Here is a 19,055-nt window from a genome sequence, read left to right as displayed (position 1 = left end):
TCTTTTAAGCAAGAGTTCATCTTTCATCAACACCTAAATTCACACCAAGGCTCAGTGGCTCTTTGCAGTTGGACGCCTGCACATTATATCATCCATCATCCTGGCACAGCCGCAGTCATGGAACAGAGGCATTAACCTGTCTCAGTGTGATTCAGAAAGAAATATGGTTTTCAAAGAAGCCTCAGTTTGGTTACCAGATCAGAGCTATAAAGTGTGTGAGGTATGTGCATGTGTGTGTATGCAAATATGTGTCAAACCGAGATTTAAAATTCACACTTGAAAAAAAAAAAATCACAGACTGTCTAAAAAATAGCTTCAAGCAGAGGTGAATATTTAAGCAACAAAGTTTACCAACAAAGCTAATTCCTTATATCATATTTTATTCTTCTTTTGCTTAGCACGTTTCTATTCACCTGTGATCACTGAGCTAATTTCTAAGTTTATATACAAACAAGGAAAATGGTCTCACAGACTTAGTAATAATAGTTCAAAAGATACAGGCAGCCTAAGGTGTGCATGCAACACAGAACACCATCCCTAGGGGATGCAAAGAAAATATATATTGTTATTCCAGCCCAGATCATGGTGACCTTCTGTTCTATAACAGTCTGTTTACTGATATCCTGAATAAGGTTGTCAGTAAATCCAGTTTGAAATATTTTAACTAGCATAAGTTTTACACAGAGGTCTGAGAATTATTAATTTCTGGGACCTGTACATTGATTTATAAAGAAACTATTTGGTTACAATCCTGGTCCTAACACCTTCTAACTATGTGGCCTTGAACAATTTACTGAAGTTTTCTGTGCCTCTGTTTTACCCTCTTTAAACTAGGAATAATATCTGCACCTACATCATGGAGCTATTGACAGTATTAAATTGTTTTCTTCCTTTGCCATAAAACATACACAATCCATCAAACATAACAAATGGGAAGCAAAAGTAACTTCAGTGGGTTATTTCATGTGATAGTAGTAACCAATCATTTTCCACTGCTGATCAACGGACCCATGCATTTTGTGTATGGGAAGGTGTTTTGGGTTGAGTTTTCCCCCAACAGAATATGTTGAAGTCCTAAACCCTAGTATCTCAGAATTTAACCATATTTGGAAATAGGATATTTTTAGATGTTATTAATTAAGATGAGGTCATATAGGAGTAGGGTGGCCCTTAAGTCAATATGACTGGTGTTCTTACAAGAAGAGAAGAGACACATAGGAAAGATAGGAATATGAAGATGAAGCTGAAACTAAAGTTGTGTTGCTACTACCCAAGAAATGTCTGGAGCTACTATTTTTTTTTTTTTTTTGAGATGGAGTCTGGCTCTGTTGCCCAGGCTAGAGTGCAGTGTCGTGATCTCAGCTCACTGGCTCACTGCAAGCTCCACCTCCCGGGTTCATGCCATTCTCCTGCCTCAGCCTCCCTAGGAGCTGGGACTACAGGCACCCACAACTGTGCCCGGCTAATTTTTTTTTTTTTGTATTTTTAGTAGAGATGGGGTTTCACCATGTTAGTCAGGATGGTCTCGATCTCCTGACATCGTGATCCACCCTCCTCAGCCTCCCAAAGTGCTGGGATTACAGGTGTGAGCCACCACGCCCAGCCTGGAGCTACTATTACTGGATCACTAGTCTCATTTACCTGCTGTGTGGTAACAGACCAAGGTACTGAAACAGCAGGAGTTACAACAGGAAAAGAGTTTAATAATCATCAGGCAGCCTAATGGACGAAGAGGTAAGAAGTACTCTTAAACCCGTCTCCCTGAGGGGTTCTAGGCTAGAGCCTATAAGGGAATTGTGGCAGGCAAAGGGCTGGAAGATTGGGTTCACTGATTGCTCAGAATAAGGGGGTAAAGTTACACTCTTATTGGGGTAATGTGGAAACTGCATTCTTCACTTGAGTCATTTCCTCAGTGGGAGCTCTCAGACTAGTTGGCAATGGTAGTTTTGCTGGAATGTGAGATCTGAGAAGCATCTTAAATGGAAAACTTGAGATTTCTCAACGTAAAAGATGTTTTCTGTGGGAACAATTAAGGGAAGTTAGTGCCTTGTGACCTGGTCTACTTGACTTATGGGCAAAAAGCAACTGTAAGGAAGTGAACCAAAGGGCAGGCTGGTTAAAAGTTAATGCCAAGCCATAACTCTATTCTACACTTATACTTTTGTCAAAAACACCTGGCAATGGATTATATTAACTTTATGAGGATGTTTTCACTACTGGAAGCTAAATGAAGAAAAGAGTGATCCTAACCTAGAGGATTTAGAAGGAGCTTGGCCTTGCCAACACCTTGAGTTTGGACTTCTAAGCTTCCAAAACTGTGAGATAATAAATTTCTGTTGGGTTAAACCATCCGGTTTCTGTTACTTTGTTACAGCAGTCCCAGCAAACTAATCCAGATTTGCCATCTATTTACTAAATCTTAGTTGCAGAGCAATGTCTTCTAATGTGAAGATGGGGTCAAATTGCTAGTATTTTATTAGTCTATTTGCGTTTTTCACATCCTCTTCAAACAGTTTTCTCAGAACATTATAAAATTAGCAAAGACATTAATATATTTTAGGAAGAATTTTAGATAATTTTTAAATTAAAATAATACATATATAATACATACATATATGTATCAGGGGAACCAGCCCCCAATATGTCAATGTAGGTTCCTTTCTATTTTCCCTAAGTGTTGGCTGGTCTGAGAAATAAAGAGAAAGAGTACAAAGAGAGAAATTTTACAGCTGGGCCTCCAGGTGTGACAACACATATTGGCAGGTTCTGTGATGCCCCTTGAGCTGCAAAACAAGCAAGTTTTTATTAGGGATTTGAAAAGGGGAGGAGGGTACAAACAGGGAGTAAGTCACAAAGATCACATGCTTGAAAGGGCAATAAAAGATTACAAGGGCAGAGAGGCAGAACAAGATCACAAGGCCAGGGTGAAATTAGAATTACTGAGGAGGTTCCATGTCCCACTGGGCACGCATTGTCATTGATAAACATCTTAATAGGAAACAGGGTTTGAGAGTAGACAACCGGTTTGACTAGAATTGGCCAGGCTGGAATTTCCTAATCCTAGCAAGCCTGAGGGTGCTGCAGGAGACCAGGGAATATTTCATCCCTTATTTTCAACTGCATAAGACAGACACTCCCAGAGTGGCCATTTGGAGACCTCCCCCTGGGAATGCATTCCTTTCCCAGGGTTATTCCTTGCTGGGAAAAGAATTCAGCGATATTTCTCCTACTTGCAGAAGAGAACAGAAGAGAAATATGACTCTGTTCTGCCCAGCCCCGCAGGCAGTCAGACTTTATGGTTATCTCCCTTGTTCCCTGCAAATTGCTGTTACCCTGTTCCTTTTTAGGATGCCCAGATTTCATATTGTTCAAACACACCTGTTTTACAATTTGTGCAGTTAACGCAATCATTACAGGGTTCTGAGGCAACATACATCCTCAGTTTACGAAGATGATGGGATTAAGAGATTAAAGTAAAGATGCATAGGAAATTATAAGAGTATTGATTGGGAAAGTGATGAATATCCATGAAATCTTCACAATTTATGGTGAGATATTGCAGTAAAGACAGGCGTAAGAAATTATAAAAGTATTAATTTGGGGAACTAATACATGTCCATGAAATCTTCACAATTTATGTTCTTCTGCTGCGGCTTCAGCCGGTCCCTCAGTTTGGGGTCCCTGACTTCCCGCAACATATATGTATACATTATTTTAATTAGAAATATATTATTGTACATTTTTAATTAAAATAATTAAAAGTAAAATACTGAAAATGTATTTTTAATTATTTTATATATAATTATATATATATAAATTATGAGTAAGACTATGGTCTTTCTCATTTATAATGTATTATTTAATGTTTTGTTTTATTTTTACCTCTTTTTTGTCTTAGCTTTTTTTATATTTTGTTAGTTTATTGAACTTCTCAAAAGTCTTTAGTATAGTTTGATCTAGTACTTTGTTTCTAAAGCTTTTTGGTCTTTATTGAGGTAGAGTTTATTTACAAAAAATACATTTTAAATTAAAGTATAGTGACTTTAGTTACATATTTACATATCTATTTCAAAAATTCAGAATTTTAATGAAATTTTATCTTTAGAAATCCAAGTGCATAAATGTTGTAAATTGTGAGCATTTCCTAAATATTATTTATATTATAGCACTGATATTTTATATCCATCAAATATTAGTCCCAGTAATATTTCAAACAGCATAGCTTATCTTCAATATATTTAATGGCTGGTTGATTAATTTATAGTATAAATTTTTAACAAACAATAGTAAATGTAAGGATTTGTTTGTTTGTTTGCTTGTTTTGAGAAGGAGTTTCACTCTTGTTGCCCAGGCTGGAGTGCAATGGTGCAGTCTCAGCTCACTGAAACCTCTGCCTCCCAGGTTCAAGCAATTCTCCTTCCTCAGCCTTCCGAGTAGCTGGGATTACAAGCACCTGCCGCCATGCTCAGCTAGTTTTTGTATTTTTAGTAAAGATGGGGTTTCACCATGTTGGTCAGGCTGGTCTCAAACTGCTGACCTCAGGTGATCTACCTGCCTCGGCCTCCCAAAGTGCTGGAATTACAGGTGTGAGCCACCGTGACTGGCCTAAATGTAAGTTTTTAAAGTATGATTAGGTTAGAAATGTTAATCTTACAGAGAATTCTATGTAATTTTAAGATGTACTGACTTCTTTATTAAAATCATTTAAAAAAATGAAGTTCAGAACTAATGAGCAAAGGAATGAATTTAATAACAAAAGGGAACTATGGTTACAGAACTTAATTAAATAGCATTGCTTGAGAAAAATCATATTTGTTTTGTATTAGTACCAAAGAAAGTAATAGAACTCATCTGTTCTGTGTTGATGGTATTTTATTCTGAAGATTTAATTCACTTGCTAAAAGTGAATTTAAAATATTTATGTCATATATTTTCTTCTAAACAAATCACTTAAACTTAAAAATGTCAATTAACAGCTTTTTGTTAGCAATAACTAGAGCCATACTATAAGTAATTAATATGTTATGCTATAATTTTTAAACATTTAATGATAAAGGAAATAATATCTATTCATTTGTTGAAAATATAGTTTTGCCATTTTAAATAAATTTATTGATCAACAATTAACAGAGTACATGACACATTATTAAATTGTATAATTTGATAAATTTAGAGTTATGTATAAACCTGTGAAACCATCACCATTGTCAAGATAATGAACATATACATCACCCTATTTATTTTTGCTTTAAAATCATATTGAAGAGATGCCACTATTTAAAAAAAAATCATACTCTCATATATAACCAAGTCATTAGACATTTTCAGTCCTCTTTATTAGTTCGTGTAAACACAGTTTTGAAGCAGCCTCATTGTCTGAAGTATTATCTAGAGTTCATTGTCTCACGATCAAGGAAAATAAGGAGAATGACACCAAGGGTGAGTTTGGAGCAAAAGTTTAATAAGCAAAAGAGGAAATCTCTCCACAGCGGAAAGGGGGCCCAAAAGAAGGGTGTCAACTATGAGGCTGAATCAGGGGTTTTTATGGACTGAAAAAAGGAGGAATGTGCTGACTGGTCTGCAGGCCATTTTGGACAAACCACCACTAAGAAAGAGGTATGAGAATGTGAAGAACCAATTGGAGGCCGAGGTGAATGCTAGGCCTGGGAACTTGGCCCAGGACCAATCAGGGGCTGAAGTAATAATTCACCGTATGTAAATGAAGCCTTAGCCAGCACCGATTATAGAAAGATACGCATATGTTAAAATTTGAAAAGTAAAAGATCAGTAGGTGAAAGGTAAAAGATTAAGGTGTGCCAAGGAGAGATAAATGTATCCAAGAAAGGGTGGAATTTGTTCATCTGGGTTCAAATACTAAGTGTTTCCATTCAAGGACATGGGCTCTTTCTTATTTGGGGCCTGCATTTTGATTTTCAGCCTGTTCTTTGTTTGGAGGAATTTTGCCAAGGACCTACCCTAACCACCTACCTGATAAGTTTTTTATTTTCTTCTCTCTCAGTTTGATCTGGTATAATTTTCTTCTTATTGAAAAGTTTTAGTTAACATTTCTTATACTGTAGGTCTGATGGTCATGAACTCTGTAAGCCTGCGCATCTGAAAACTTTTTTTATTCCACTTTTTCTTCTCACAGTGCCTTAAAGATTTTGTTCTACTCTCTGTTAGATGACATTGTTTTCTATGAGAAATCTGCTGTTATCCTTATCTCTATTTACCTGTAATTAATTTACATTTTATCTGTCTCATCTATATATTTTCTTTTTAAATCATTAACTTTGAGCAGTTTAAGTAGAATGTGCCTTATTGTAGTTTCCCTTATGTTTTTTTGTATTTCAATTTAATTGACCTTCTTAGGTCTGTGAATCTGTAATTTTTATCAAATGGTGAAAACTTTCAGCATATTTCTTCAAATGTTTTTGTACCTCCCTGTACTTTCATGGACTATATGTTTGTGTGTGTGTCTGTGTGTGTATATATATATATACACAAACACACATGATATATGCACACACATGATATATATGTACATGTGTGCATATGTATATACACACACAATATATATGTGTATATATACACACATATGTGTGTGTATATAATAGATGATATATAAAGTGTGTATATATGATATATAATATGTATAATGTGTGTGTATATATACGTATATACACACATATATATACACATATATAATATATCTTATGTATGATATATATATACACACACACGTACGTGTGTGTGTATTTGGTTACTATTAACAGTCCATTGATACCCTGTTTATTTTTTTCTATCATTTTCTTTCTGTGTTTCATTTTACAATTTCTATTCTGATGTCTTGAAGTTGCTAAGTTTTCCTTCCGCAATACCTAATCTGATGTCAGTCCTGTCTGGTATATTTTTCATCTTAGGCATTATGTGTTTTTCTCTCTTAAAGTTTAATTTAGGTTCTTTTTTGATATCTTTCATGTCTTAATGTAACAGGTTAACTCTTTATTATAGCTTCTTGGATATTTGAAAGATAATCAGCTAAGAACTGAAATGTGTCACTCCAAAATACATATTTTATAGGCCTAACCCCTAATGTGACTATATTTGAAGATAGAGTTATTTTGGAAGTAATTAAGATTAAATAAGGTTTCAAGGACACAGTCATGATTTCACAGGATTTTTGTCCTTTTAGGAGGAGGAAAAAAGACGAGAGCTCTTTCTACAAACACACATACACACACACACACACACACACACACACACAATGAGGAAATGACATATGAGGACATAGCAAGAAGGCAGCCGTCTGCAACCCAGAAAGAGAGCCTTCACCAGAACACCAGACACACCAAGTGTGCTGTCACCCTGTTATTGGAGTACCAGCTTCAAGAACTGTGAGAAAATATTTTTTTGCTATTTAAGCCACCCAGTCTATGGAATTTTATTATGATGGCCTAAGCAGTCATAGTTATAAGACACAGTTATAATCATAGTTTTAATTAATATCCTTGTTATCATCTACCCAATTTCTGGGTAAGTTTTGATTGAATTATTATTCCTTTCCCCATCATTACAGGTTGCATTTTTCCACTTATTTTCATGCCTAGTTAGTTTTTGATTGACTACTAGACATCGTGAATTTTACCACCAGAATGCTGGATATTTTTAGGTTTTTTACATTTGTTCTGAGATATGGTTATTTGGAAAAAAGTTTAATTTGTTTATTTCTTTCTTTTGTTAAGCAAAATTGAATTGTATTTACTCTAGGGTTTTTTTCCCTTACAACTAAACAGCATTCCTTATTTCCTTCCTTCCTTCCTTCCTTTCTTCTTCCTTTCTTTCTTTCTTATTTTCAACTTTTATTTTAGACTCAGGGGTTACATATGCAAGTTTGTTATCTGGATATATTGTGTGATGCTGAATTTTGGGGTACAAATAATCCTATCACCCAGGTACTGAGTATAGTACCCAATGGTTAGTTTTGAACCCCTGACCTCTCCTTCTCATCCCCCTCTAGTAGTCTCCAGTTTCTATTGTTGATATCTTTATGTCCATGACTATCCGATGTTCAGCTCCCACTTATAAGTTAGAACATGTGGTATTTGGTTTTCTATTCCTGTGTTAATTTTCTTAGGATAATGGCCTCCAGCTGCTTCCATGTTGTTGCAAGGGACATCATTTTATTCTTTTATATGGCTGCGTAGTATTCATTGGTATATATGTATCACATTTTCTTTCTCCAATCCCCTGTTGATGGGCACCTAGTTGATTCCATGTCTTTGCTATTGTGAATAGTGCTGCAATTAATATGCAAGTGCATGTATCTTTTTGTTAGAATGATTTGCTTTCCTTTGGATATATACCCAGTAATGGGATGCTGGGTGGAATGGTAGTTCTAACTTATTTGAGGAATCTCCAAACTGCTTTCCACAATGAAAACAAATTTACATTCCCACCACTGTATATAAGTGTTCCTTTTTTTCCACAGCTTTACAAGCATACATAGTTTATTGACATTTTAATAATTGCCATTTTGGCTGATAGGAAATATCTCATTGTGTTTTGATTTATATATCTCTGATAATATCAATATGGAACATTTTTCATATGTTTGTTGGATGCTTGTATGTCTTATTTGAGGAGCATCTGTTTATATATTTTGCCTACTTATTAATAGGATTTTTTGGGGTTTTCTGATGATTTTGTAAAGTTTCTTATAGATTCTGGATATTAGACCTTTGTTGGATGCATAGTTTGTAAGTATTTTCTCTCATTCTGTAAGCTGTCTGTTTACTCTGTTGAGATAAGCAGCACTTTCAAAGTATTTTAACTATTTCCCCCTGATTAGTACTCAACGGATCAGTAGCATGTGATAGTTAGTACTAAACTGAGTCCTCTGAATGTAAAATACTCTTCTCTCTGTGGTTCTGCCTGGTAAGCTCTAGGCATCTTGTCTTTCCCAGTCTTCCAGATCTATCGCTGAAGTGCTTTTATAGCATTTCAGCATTCTTTATTAGTTTTCTCTTGAGTTATTTCTGAGGTTTATAGTTGTGTCTAGTGAAGAGAATCAAAGAGGAATAAGTCTATGCCGTCTATTCTGACTGGAATTAAAAATTAACCTTTAAAGTCAATTCAGGTTAAGCACAGCACAAAAGCATATCACTTGCTAAATGGTATTTGATGAATGACTATTTGTGTTGCTTCTGAAAGTAATAAAGCAGACACAATGATATATTTCAAGAGTCAGATACACAAGCAAAAGTGGAAAGATGAATAATAGAAACAGGTATTTCTATAAACACAAACGTATGCAGTAACAATGTACAGCAGAAAGGTAATTTACCTACTGTTCAACCTTGTAATAGAATCTTGGGACCTCCCAATCTCACTCCACAAAGAAATCATCATACTTAGGTTTCTTAGCCCCCTAAAAATTTTCTCAAATCTTCGAAGAACAATATACAACTCAGAATTGCAAAATGCATAGGTTTTAAAGTAGAAATGTTTATTCATTGCATGAATAAACTTTGCCATAATTATCTTATCAAGTAGAAAAAATATTTATTTATTTTTATTCCTATTTGGTTAGTTTTCTAGAAAACAGAGTTATTCTCTTTCAAAACAAGACTGATTTTGTAGACTCAAAATATCAATATATTAGGTCAAATGTTGATTTTCTTTATCCTGAGCTATAGGCGCTTTCTTCTAGCTTTGACTCTAAGAAATCCAGAATAAATCTCTATTAAATTCAGGTCATAACCAAAGCTTTGCTACTTGATAAAACAAGAAAAATGACCACAAACTTAATACCTTCAAGCGTTCATTATTTACTCTTACTTTACTACAATTAGAACTTTTGCTAGAATTATAGTTTAGGGTTAGAAGCAATAGAATGTTCAAGGATGTTTCTGCTTGTTTGAAGCTGCAAATACATTTGTAAAATAAAACAAGTAAAGCTGGTGATCCATGATCTTAAACGAATAGAAAGTTTGTGAGATTAATATCAACATTGTCAAATTTTTCTAAATAGAGTAATGAGAGTAAGAAAGCCAGAAAGTAATATTGAGTTTTTGAAGGACAAATGTGTATATATATTTTAACAATTAGAACACTGTTTATTTCATGTCAGGGCTTCTTTGTGAAGTAGTTGAGCTTAGATAAAATAAATAACTAAATGATGAGCTTCCTTCAGTGGAATTTGCTTAAGTACACTCTAAAGTACTTATTCAAAAATACTATGTTACATGGCAAGACATCTATTTAAAACTGGCATCTGAGAACATTGTACATGAATAAATACGCTAACTCATAAGAAACTCTCACTTTTCTTGATGTGAAAGTGAACATTTGGTTCAGTGAACAAGATTTCTTTAAAATTTTCTAAATTCCTGATTTAGAGTGAGCAACAAGTAGAAAAATCAAGCAGGCTCTTGTGTTTCTACATTGTAGTTTTAAGTTGTGAAGTATTTCTTTCACGTCAAGGGTCATAACATAGAAATTCACATAAAGCAATGAGTGAAGCATCAGTGTAAGTATTTCTTGTTATTGAATAGAAATATGCTGAAAAGTTTGTTGGAGCAGAGTAAATTATCAAGAGTTTTGCAGAAATTATTATTGCTGCCTTTGCTGACTTTTGATAACCCATCAAGTCTATCTTTCTCATACAATGTACTATTTATGTATGCCACCTTTTTATGTTGTAAAAAAGAAAGATAGATCACCCATAAGGTTTGCGTGTGTATGTGTGTGTGTGTGTATTTATATGATAGTGTTATTTTTTACAAAAAGACATTATTAAAGGTACATTATGTATAATTACATTACTTCTATGTGTGGAAGATAGACTCTAAAGTCTAATTTTTGTCTCCTGATGTGTGTGTAATCCCCCCTTGTGTGATGGCTAAACCAGTGTCTTGCTCTTAACTAGAATATGGCATATGGCAAAGGTGATGGGTTGTCACTCTCAGTATCACATTTCTGTATGTGTAATCTATCTTCCTGGCAACTCCCATTCTCTTCTGTGATCTAAAATTTATAAGAGGCCATTGTTTTGGACTGAGCTTCTGCATTAGGCATAACAGACCAAACCAAAATTGAGTCATACATGTTAAGTGCCATGTAATCAAACTGTAATTTAAAATTACAGAAAAAACCCCAAAACATGCCAGTTTTTTCAAAAACCAGAAGCTTCACAGCAACCAAACAGGGCCCAGTAAACCTGAGCTAGTATCATAAGAAAGTCCCCCCTGTTATAACCTTTATAAAGAGAGTGACCTGAAGTAAGCTGATATTAACCAATCTGTCTTTTTGCATTATGCTGTTTTCTTGTTTCTGCTCAAACAACCTTAAAAACTCTACTGCACTACCATGGCCCCCAAAACTTTTATAAATGGGATGCTGACCAATTCATAAATCAAAAACAAATGTCAATTTGACCTTTAAAATAAATTTATCAAAATTTTGTTTTGAAACACTCCTTCATTCCTTTGTAGAACTCATTTAATTTATTTAACAACCTAAAATCACAACTAAAAGAACTAGAGAACCAAGAGCAAACAAGTCCCAAAGCTAGTAGGAGACAAGAAATAACCAAAAAAAGAGCTGAATTGAAGGAAATCAAGACATAACAAACCACTCAAAAGATCGATGAATCCAGGAGTTGGTTTTTTGTTGGCTTTAAAGAGATGAGATGTAATAAATTTTCCATCTTTAAGTGTTCATGTGGTAAGAACAGAAAGCAGCCTCTAGGACCTTATGATGACTTGAGAAAAAGCAAAGCAGAAGCCCTCAGTCCAGCAACTGCAAGGACATGAATTTTGTCAACAACCTCTGATAACCAAGCAGCCTGAAACAAAAGCTAAATTGCCATAATTATTTATTATTGGCTTATTTTATGTATCTCTTTTTCTGTTTTTTGAACACATTAGTCACAATTATTTAAAAGTTATTGTTGGATAAATCTCATATCTGGGTTGTTTATAATCTTTTTATATTTACTCTTTTCTTGGATTTTATGTCATATAGTCCAGTATCTTGGAATGTGGACTAATCTCTTTTAAAACATGAAATATTATTCCCATTGCATAGGCTCCAGATGATTTTATTATTTCCTAGACAGAGTTAATCATTTTTCTACTAAGCAGAGAGAGACACAGGAGTGAATTACTTTAATTTAAACATGGTCTGAGCTGAGTCAAGCTCAGAATAGTAGTAAACCCATTCTACCTTTTAGAAGATTCTGCTCCCAAGATTTGGCTCTCCATGGCTTTAGAAAGAATTATGGTCTCAGTGGTCACCCAAAGTCCTTCCCCTGTGAGGACTTTAACATCAATTTTTATCGTTTTAGCACCACAAGCCAACTGGGAACTCCATTCTGCTTTAAGATGTTTTCTGCTCCGTGTTAGGCATCTACTCTATTTAACATCAAAATTAGAAAACATACCAATAGAAAAAAAAACACATAGGTTTTAATTCTCCCAAGTTTACAGTTTTGTATGTCCAAACTCTGCTGGAGACTATTAAAGCCTTTGCTGTTTTCTTTGTAATTCTGGGAATAACCTTTGTTTTGGTAAATTCTGCATTGAAGATACCTGGGTTCTCATTCTCCTGTTTTGTACCTAGAGAAAAAAGTTCCCCAGGGGAAATTGTCTACTGTCAGTTCACCTCTGCATGGCTCTTCCCTCTTCAGATTCATGGCCCATCTATTTTTTATGTCATATAATCTCTCCAATGCCTTTGAAGAGATAATTTCTATATTTCCTTATTTTTTTTAGTTTTCTCAGTAGGTTCATTGGCCTCCTGTAAGCTACTTCCACTCGCCTAAAAGCAAAATCCCTTCCGCATTTATTTTCATTTTCTAACACAAGTGATAGATAAATAAATAAATAGTTTTTGTAAGCATCAATGTTTGGAAAGCTTATTTTCTTTAATGCTTTTGGACTTTAGTGCTTTCTTTAATGCCGATGCACTTTTAATAAAGGCATTAAAATGATACCTTTTATTGTTATTTAGAGATTCTTTAACAAGTTTGTGGATGCTTACAGATTGTCTTACAAAACATTTAAGTATGTCTTCAGCCTTGCCTAGCTTTATTATTTATATTCCTGAAAAAAATTACAAAGCAATTTATCCTATAAGTGTCATCTGCATAAATTACTAAGACACACTGACAATATACTGATATTTATCTTTTTAAAAATTTTTAATTTTTGTGGGTACATAGTAGGTCTATAGGTTTATAAAGTATATGAGATATTTTGATACAGGCATGCAATGAGTTTTGTACCCTCATGTGATTGCTTTTTATTCATTAATATTATATTCTTTATGATTGAAGTACTCCCTTTAGAATATCTTGTAAGGTAAGTCTGGTGTTGATGAAGTCCCTCAGTATTTTTTGTTTGTTTGTTTGTTTGTTTTTTGTCTGGGAAAGTTTTCATTTCTCTTTTATGTTTGAAGATTATTATTGCTGGATATACTATTCAAGGGTAAAAGTGTTCCTTTGTTTCATTTTGTTTTGTTTTTCAGCACTTTAAATATGTCATGGCAATATCTTCTGGTCTGTATGGTTTCCACTGAAAAGTCTGCTCCCAGAGATATTGGAGCTCCATTGTGTTATTAGTTTTTCTTTTTTTTTCCCCTCTTACTGCTTCTAGGATCCTTTTTTTTAATCCTTGATCTTTGAGAGTTTAATTTTTAGATGCCTTGATGTAGTATTCTTCTGGTTAAATATGATTGGTGATCTATAACTATCTTGTACTTTAATATTGATATCTTTCTCTAGGTTTGGGAAGTTTTCTGTTATTTTCCCTTTGAATAAACTTTTTATATCTTTTTCTTTACCTCCTTTTTAAGGTCAATAATTCTTAGATTTGTCCTTTCGAGGGTAGAGCCTAGATCCTATAGGCTTTCTTTAGTTTCTTATTCTTTTTTTCTTTTCTCTTCTCTGACTTTGTATTTTCAAATAGCCTGTCTTCAAGCTCTCTAATTATTTCTTCTGATTGGTCAGTTCTGTTATTAAAACATGCTGATGTATTCTTCAGCATGCCAATTGTATTTTTTATCTCCAGAATTTCTGCTTGATGCTTTTTAATGATATTAGTCTTTTTGTTAAATTTATCTGATAGAATTCTGAATTCCTTTTATGTGTTACCTTGAATTTCTTTGAGTTTCCTTAACACAGCTATTTTGAATTCTCTGTTTGAAAAGTCACATGTTTCTGTTTCTACAGGATTGGTCCCTGGTCATTTATCAGAAGGTAGCAAAGCTAGCCAGTCCTGTGTCCTTCCCTGCAGGGCAGTGACTTTCCCTAACCCCTAAGTGGGTCCAGAGATGCTTTCTAGGAGTCAGAGACTAGGGTCAAGATCTTGTAAGTCTGTCTACCTGGTGTTCTATTGTAGTGTGACTGAGCTGGCACTCAAACCACAAGATGCAGTCTTTCCCACTCTCTCCTACCCTTTACAAAGGCAGAGGAGCCTCACCCCATAGCAACCACCATACAGGCCATGAGGAGTACTGCCAGAGTACCACTACTGTTCTCTTAGTGTCCAAGGGCTCTTAAGTCAGCTTGTGGTGAATACTGCCTGGCCAGGACTCACCATCCAGGGAAGCAGGCTTTCTTCTGGCCCAGTGCTGGTCCAGAGAAGATATCCAAGTGTCAAGTCCTGGAATCAGGGACCCCAAGAGCCCACTTGGTGTTCTACCCCCCTGTAGATGTCCTGGTACCTAAAGTGAAAGACAAAGCCCCTTTACTTTTCCCTCTTCTTTTCTCAAGCAGAAGTTTCACCCCATAGCCAGCACAGCCAGTAATGTGCTGAGTCTCACTCGATGCCAGCAAGTTTCAGAGGCTTATCCAAGGCCCTCAATGTAGTACTTGGGCATCACTGCTAGTTATTCAAGGACCAAGGTCTCCTCAGTTAGTAGGTGATGAATGTTTCCAGACTAGGTCCTTCCATTCTAGAAAGCTGGTTCCCTTCTGGCAGAGGGTACATCTAGAAATGTCATCTGGGAGATAGGGCCTGGAATGGAGGCCTTATGGCTCTGACTAGTACCCTATCCTGCTGTGGCTGAGCTGATAATCAAGATGCCAGATAAAGTCCTCCCCACTCTTTCCTTTCTTCTTCTCAATCAGAATAAAGTGGTCTCTTTTTGTATCCAGGAGTTGTGCAGCCTGAGGTTACGGGAGGGTTGATGCAAGTACACCCTTAGCCACCCAGCTGGTTTCTCAGTAGGTCATGGTGCCCCACAAGTCCACTGTCTCTGGCCCGGTTTAGCACTAGGACTCACCTAAGAGTTGCGATCCTAATGACCTAGGCTGCCTTTCATGTTTTCTTAGAGACCCAGGGCTCCATTACCCATTACCTTCGGCGATAAGTTTTGCAGAAACTCAAGTTCCAAGTGCTGGGACTGGCAATTACCCTCTGGCTAGCGCTGGTTTAAACACTTCCTCTGTGTGTAAGTGCCAGCTGAGTTTGGTCTGATGGCTCTGTCAGGACAGTGCTGACATCATTGCTTCACATCGTTTCTGTTCTCATCCATTGCTCAGAGATTCTCTCTGTACCATATTGCCCCTGACAGGTGGTGGGAGAAGGATGGCATAGGTGATTCAAGACTGTTTTTTCCATCTTTTCCGTGCCTTTTTCAGTGATACAAAGTTAACACTAGATACTATGGTGCTCACCTGATTTTTGGTTCTTGTGAAGGTTTTTTTTTTTTTTTTCTGTGTTGGTAGTTGTTAAATTGGTGTCCTCATGGGGGTTGCGGGACTGTCAGTGGAGCCTTCTATTCTGCCATCTTGTTCTACCTCCTTAGCATTTATCTTTGATGCTCTCCCATGTCCCATATCCTAATTCCTGGAAATTATACTGTTCCTCTTCCTTCATTTAATTATCTGTTTTATTCTTGTAACAATTTTGAGTAGCTTCCCAAAAAAAACTGCGTGATAAAAAATATTTGAAGTTTTATAACTCTACACATCTTCAATCTATCCTCACAAATTGTTGGTATTATGCTGAAATTGTTGTCTAAAAAATAATTATTTTCTCTTATTTTGAAGACATTGTTGTACTGAATTTAATATTCAAATGTCTTTTTTTATTTTTGCTTCTTTCTCTATGGCCTGTTATTTTCTTAAAAAGCTGTTGATATATGTACAATACAGAATTAACTTTGACCAAAGAGAGGTCTGGCCTTTGCCATCAGCTTCTGGGAAGTAATCTCTAAGCCCTTGGAATGTTCTGCCTGACAAGATGTCATTGTAGGCCTGGGGACTTGGGCCACATCAGATGGTCTATCCTAGCATTGTGATTTTCAGTGAGATCTTACCCTCATGCGATATTAACTCGACGTCCAGAAGGGTTGGAAACTAATGTCAGCCAGGCAGGTGACCTGAACCATTTCTTCATAACCAAACCCCTACAAAAGTTCTGCATACCAAAAGTTGGGTGAGCTTCCCTGGTTAACAATACTTCATGGATATATTCCCACATTGTTGCCTTAAAGGAGTTAGCACTGTCCACAACTCCACTGAGAGGCAAAGGCTCTTTGTGAACACTTTGGACTCTGGTCCATGTATCTGCTTCACTTGTCTAATTTTTATCTGTATTCATTCCACGTTATAAACTAACCATTACTATATCAGCATTCTGTGAGTTATATGAGTACATCCATAGATTAAGCAAACCCAAGGCTCATCTTGCGGACTCCCAGATTTGTAATTGGTGTCAGAAGTGAGAGTGGTTCTGGAGACTTCCCTCAAACTCTTCAATATGTAATTTGTTATTATTTCTGGTCTTATATATTTCATCATAATGACTTTTTGTGTTCTTTCCTTTCTATTTATATTTTTTAATGTAAACATTTTTTATTTCTTCTTAATTTTTATAAAATTCAGTTACAAATTTTTGTTTTTGGATTATTTCTTAAAGGAGGCTCTCTTAATGTTCTCTATTACCTTATTATTAACTCTTGGATTATTTCTTTTCTTTTATAAAGTTATCTTTTTTCTCTCATTATTGTCTTTAATTTATTCTCTTTTCTAATTGTCTGCAACTAATATTTCAAATCTCATGTTAATCATATACATTAATTCATATAATTATATTTAATTTATGTATGTATATGTATTTATACATATATTTTCAAAAACATTTGTTCTTGATTATTACTGCTTGTATTCTATTATTTCTTCTCCTATTTCTATAAGCATATAAATAATAGCATGTTTAGCGGTTTTCTTTGTTCCCCATATTAAGTTTTCTCAATTTCTTCAGAGAAGAATCCTTCAAACCTAGTCTCAATGCATTATACAGGGAGTAAGACGAGAGAAGTAAGATAGAAAGAGGTGTGTAACTGTTCAATAATTTTTCTTAATCCCAACATTTTTGGCCAGATACCTTAGGCGTTTCCTCCTGTTTTTCAGGTGTGCTGGTCCAGAGGCTCTGAAGTTTTCCAGAGAATAACACTCCTGTATTTTGTAAGGAGGAGAAATAGTCACTTCTCAAGTGAAAGGGAGGAGGGAATTTGTTGGTCTAACTTTACGTTATACCAAATTCTAATCTAATTTTCCATTTGTCAACCCTAATTCCCTCCTGTTTCCCTGGTACCTGGTACTTTACATCCCTTGGGCTTTTGTGTCCTATAGGGAAACTTACCTAGTTTTCACTCATATTTCCGTCTGAGGGCATTTACATATTTGCATTTTCTGTTCTGCTAAGTAATTTACTTGCTATTTTTACTTTCCGTCTTTCTAAACTTGTCATCTGTTTTCTTCTCTCCATTTTCCTTGCCTGTATGAATTTATACCTTTCAACTGTTGATTTATGATAATTTGGTATAGTTAAAAAGGGAATTCACGTATTTTATTTTTTAAATTGTAATGCTTTGAGAGTAAAAGTAGATATTATTAATATTTAACAAAATCAAACTAGCCAGTAAAACTGTAAGATCCCCTTATATGTGTAGAAAGAAAAACATAGCCATTTATTTGATTTACTGCATTTTAACCTTTGGTCCTTTGCATGGTCTCTAATTCCACAATTTTTCAACAGTAATATAAGTGTATTTGGATTGGTTTAAGCCAATCAATGATTATTTTTTGATGTGTAGAAAGGAATACTTCTTCCTATACTATATAGCTATAGATGGGATTTAGTTTCAATTTGATTTATTCAAACATATCAATGCTAATGATTTCAAAATAGTTGTTTTAATCATATAATATGGTTAGGCTTTGTGTCCCCACCCCAAATTTCATCATGAATTATAATCCTGGTAATCCTCACCTGTCAAGGGAGAGACCAGAGGTAATTGGATCATGGGAGCAGCTTACCACATGCATTTCTCATGATGGTGAGTGAGTTGTCACAAAATCTGATTTTTATATATATATATATATATATATATATATATATATATATATATATATATTTTATTATTATACTTTAAGTTCTAGGGTACATGTGCACAACATGCAGGTTTGTTACATATGTATACATGTGCCATGTTGGTGTGCTGCACGCGTTAACTTGTCATTTACATTAGGTATATCTCCTAATGCTATCCCTCCCCCCTGCCCCCACCGCACAACAGGCCCTGGTGTGTGATGTTCCCCTTCCTGTGTCCAAGTGTTCTCATTGTTCAATTCCCACCTATGAGTGAGAACATGCGGTGTTTAGGTTTTTGTCCTTGCGATAGTTTGCTCAGAGTGATGGTTTCCAGCTTCATCCATGTCCCTAAAGAGGACATGAACTCATCCTTTTTTATGGCTACATAGTATTCCATGGTGTATATGTGCCACATTTTCTTAATCCAGTCTATCATTGTTGGAAATTTGAGTTGGTTCCAAGTCTTTGCTATTGTGAGTAGTGCCACAATAAACTTATGTGTGCATGTGTATTTATAGCAGCATGATTTATATTCCTTTGGGTATATACCCAGTAATGGGATGGCTGAGTCAAATGGTATTTCTAGTTCTAGATCCTTGAGGAATCACCACACTGTCTTCCACAATGGTTGAACTAGTTTACAGTCCCAGCAACAGTGTAAAAGTGTTC

General features: G+C 35.3%; 1 annotated feature.

Moving 5' to 3' along the window:
- Window positions 2,688-3,270: an enhancer, noted in NCBI's record as "OCT4-NANOG hESC enhancer chr1:102963367-102963949 (GRCh37/hg19 assembly coordinates)". NCBI's record gives its function as "activates a minimal SCP1, AML or CMV promoter by ChIP-STARR-seq in primed H9 embryonic stem cells {active_cell/tissue: H9 hESC(primed)}" and the evidence as "EXISTENCE:reporter gene assay evidence [ECO:0000049][PMID:30033119]".

This window comes from Homo sapiens, chromosome 1 (genome assembly GCF_000001405.40).
Source record: "Homo sapiens chromosome 1, GRCh38.p14 Primary Assembly".
NCBI classification, from domain to species: Eukaryota; Metazoa; Chordata; class Mammalia; order Primates; family Hominidae; genus Homo; species Homo sapiens.
This window is presented reverse-complemented; position numbering and strand designations above follow the sequence as displayed.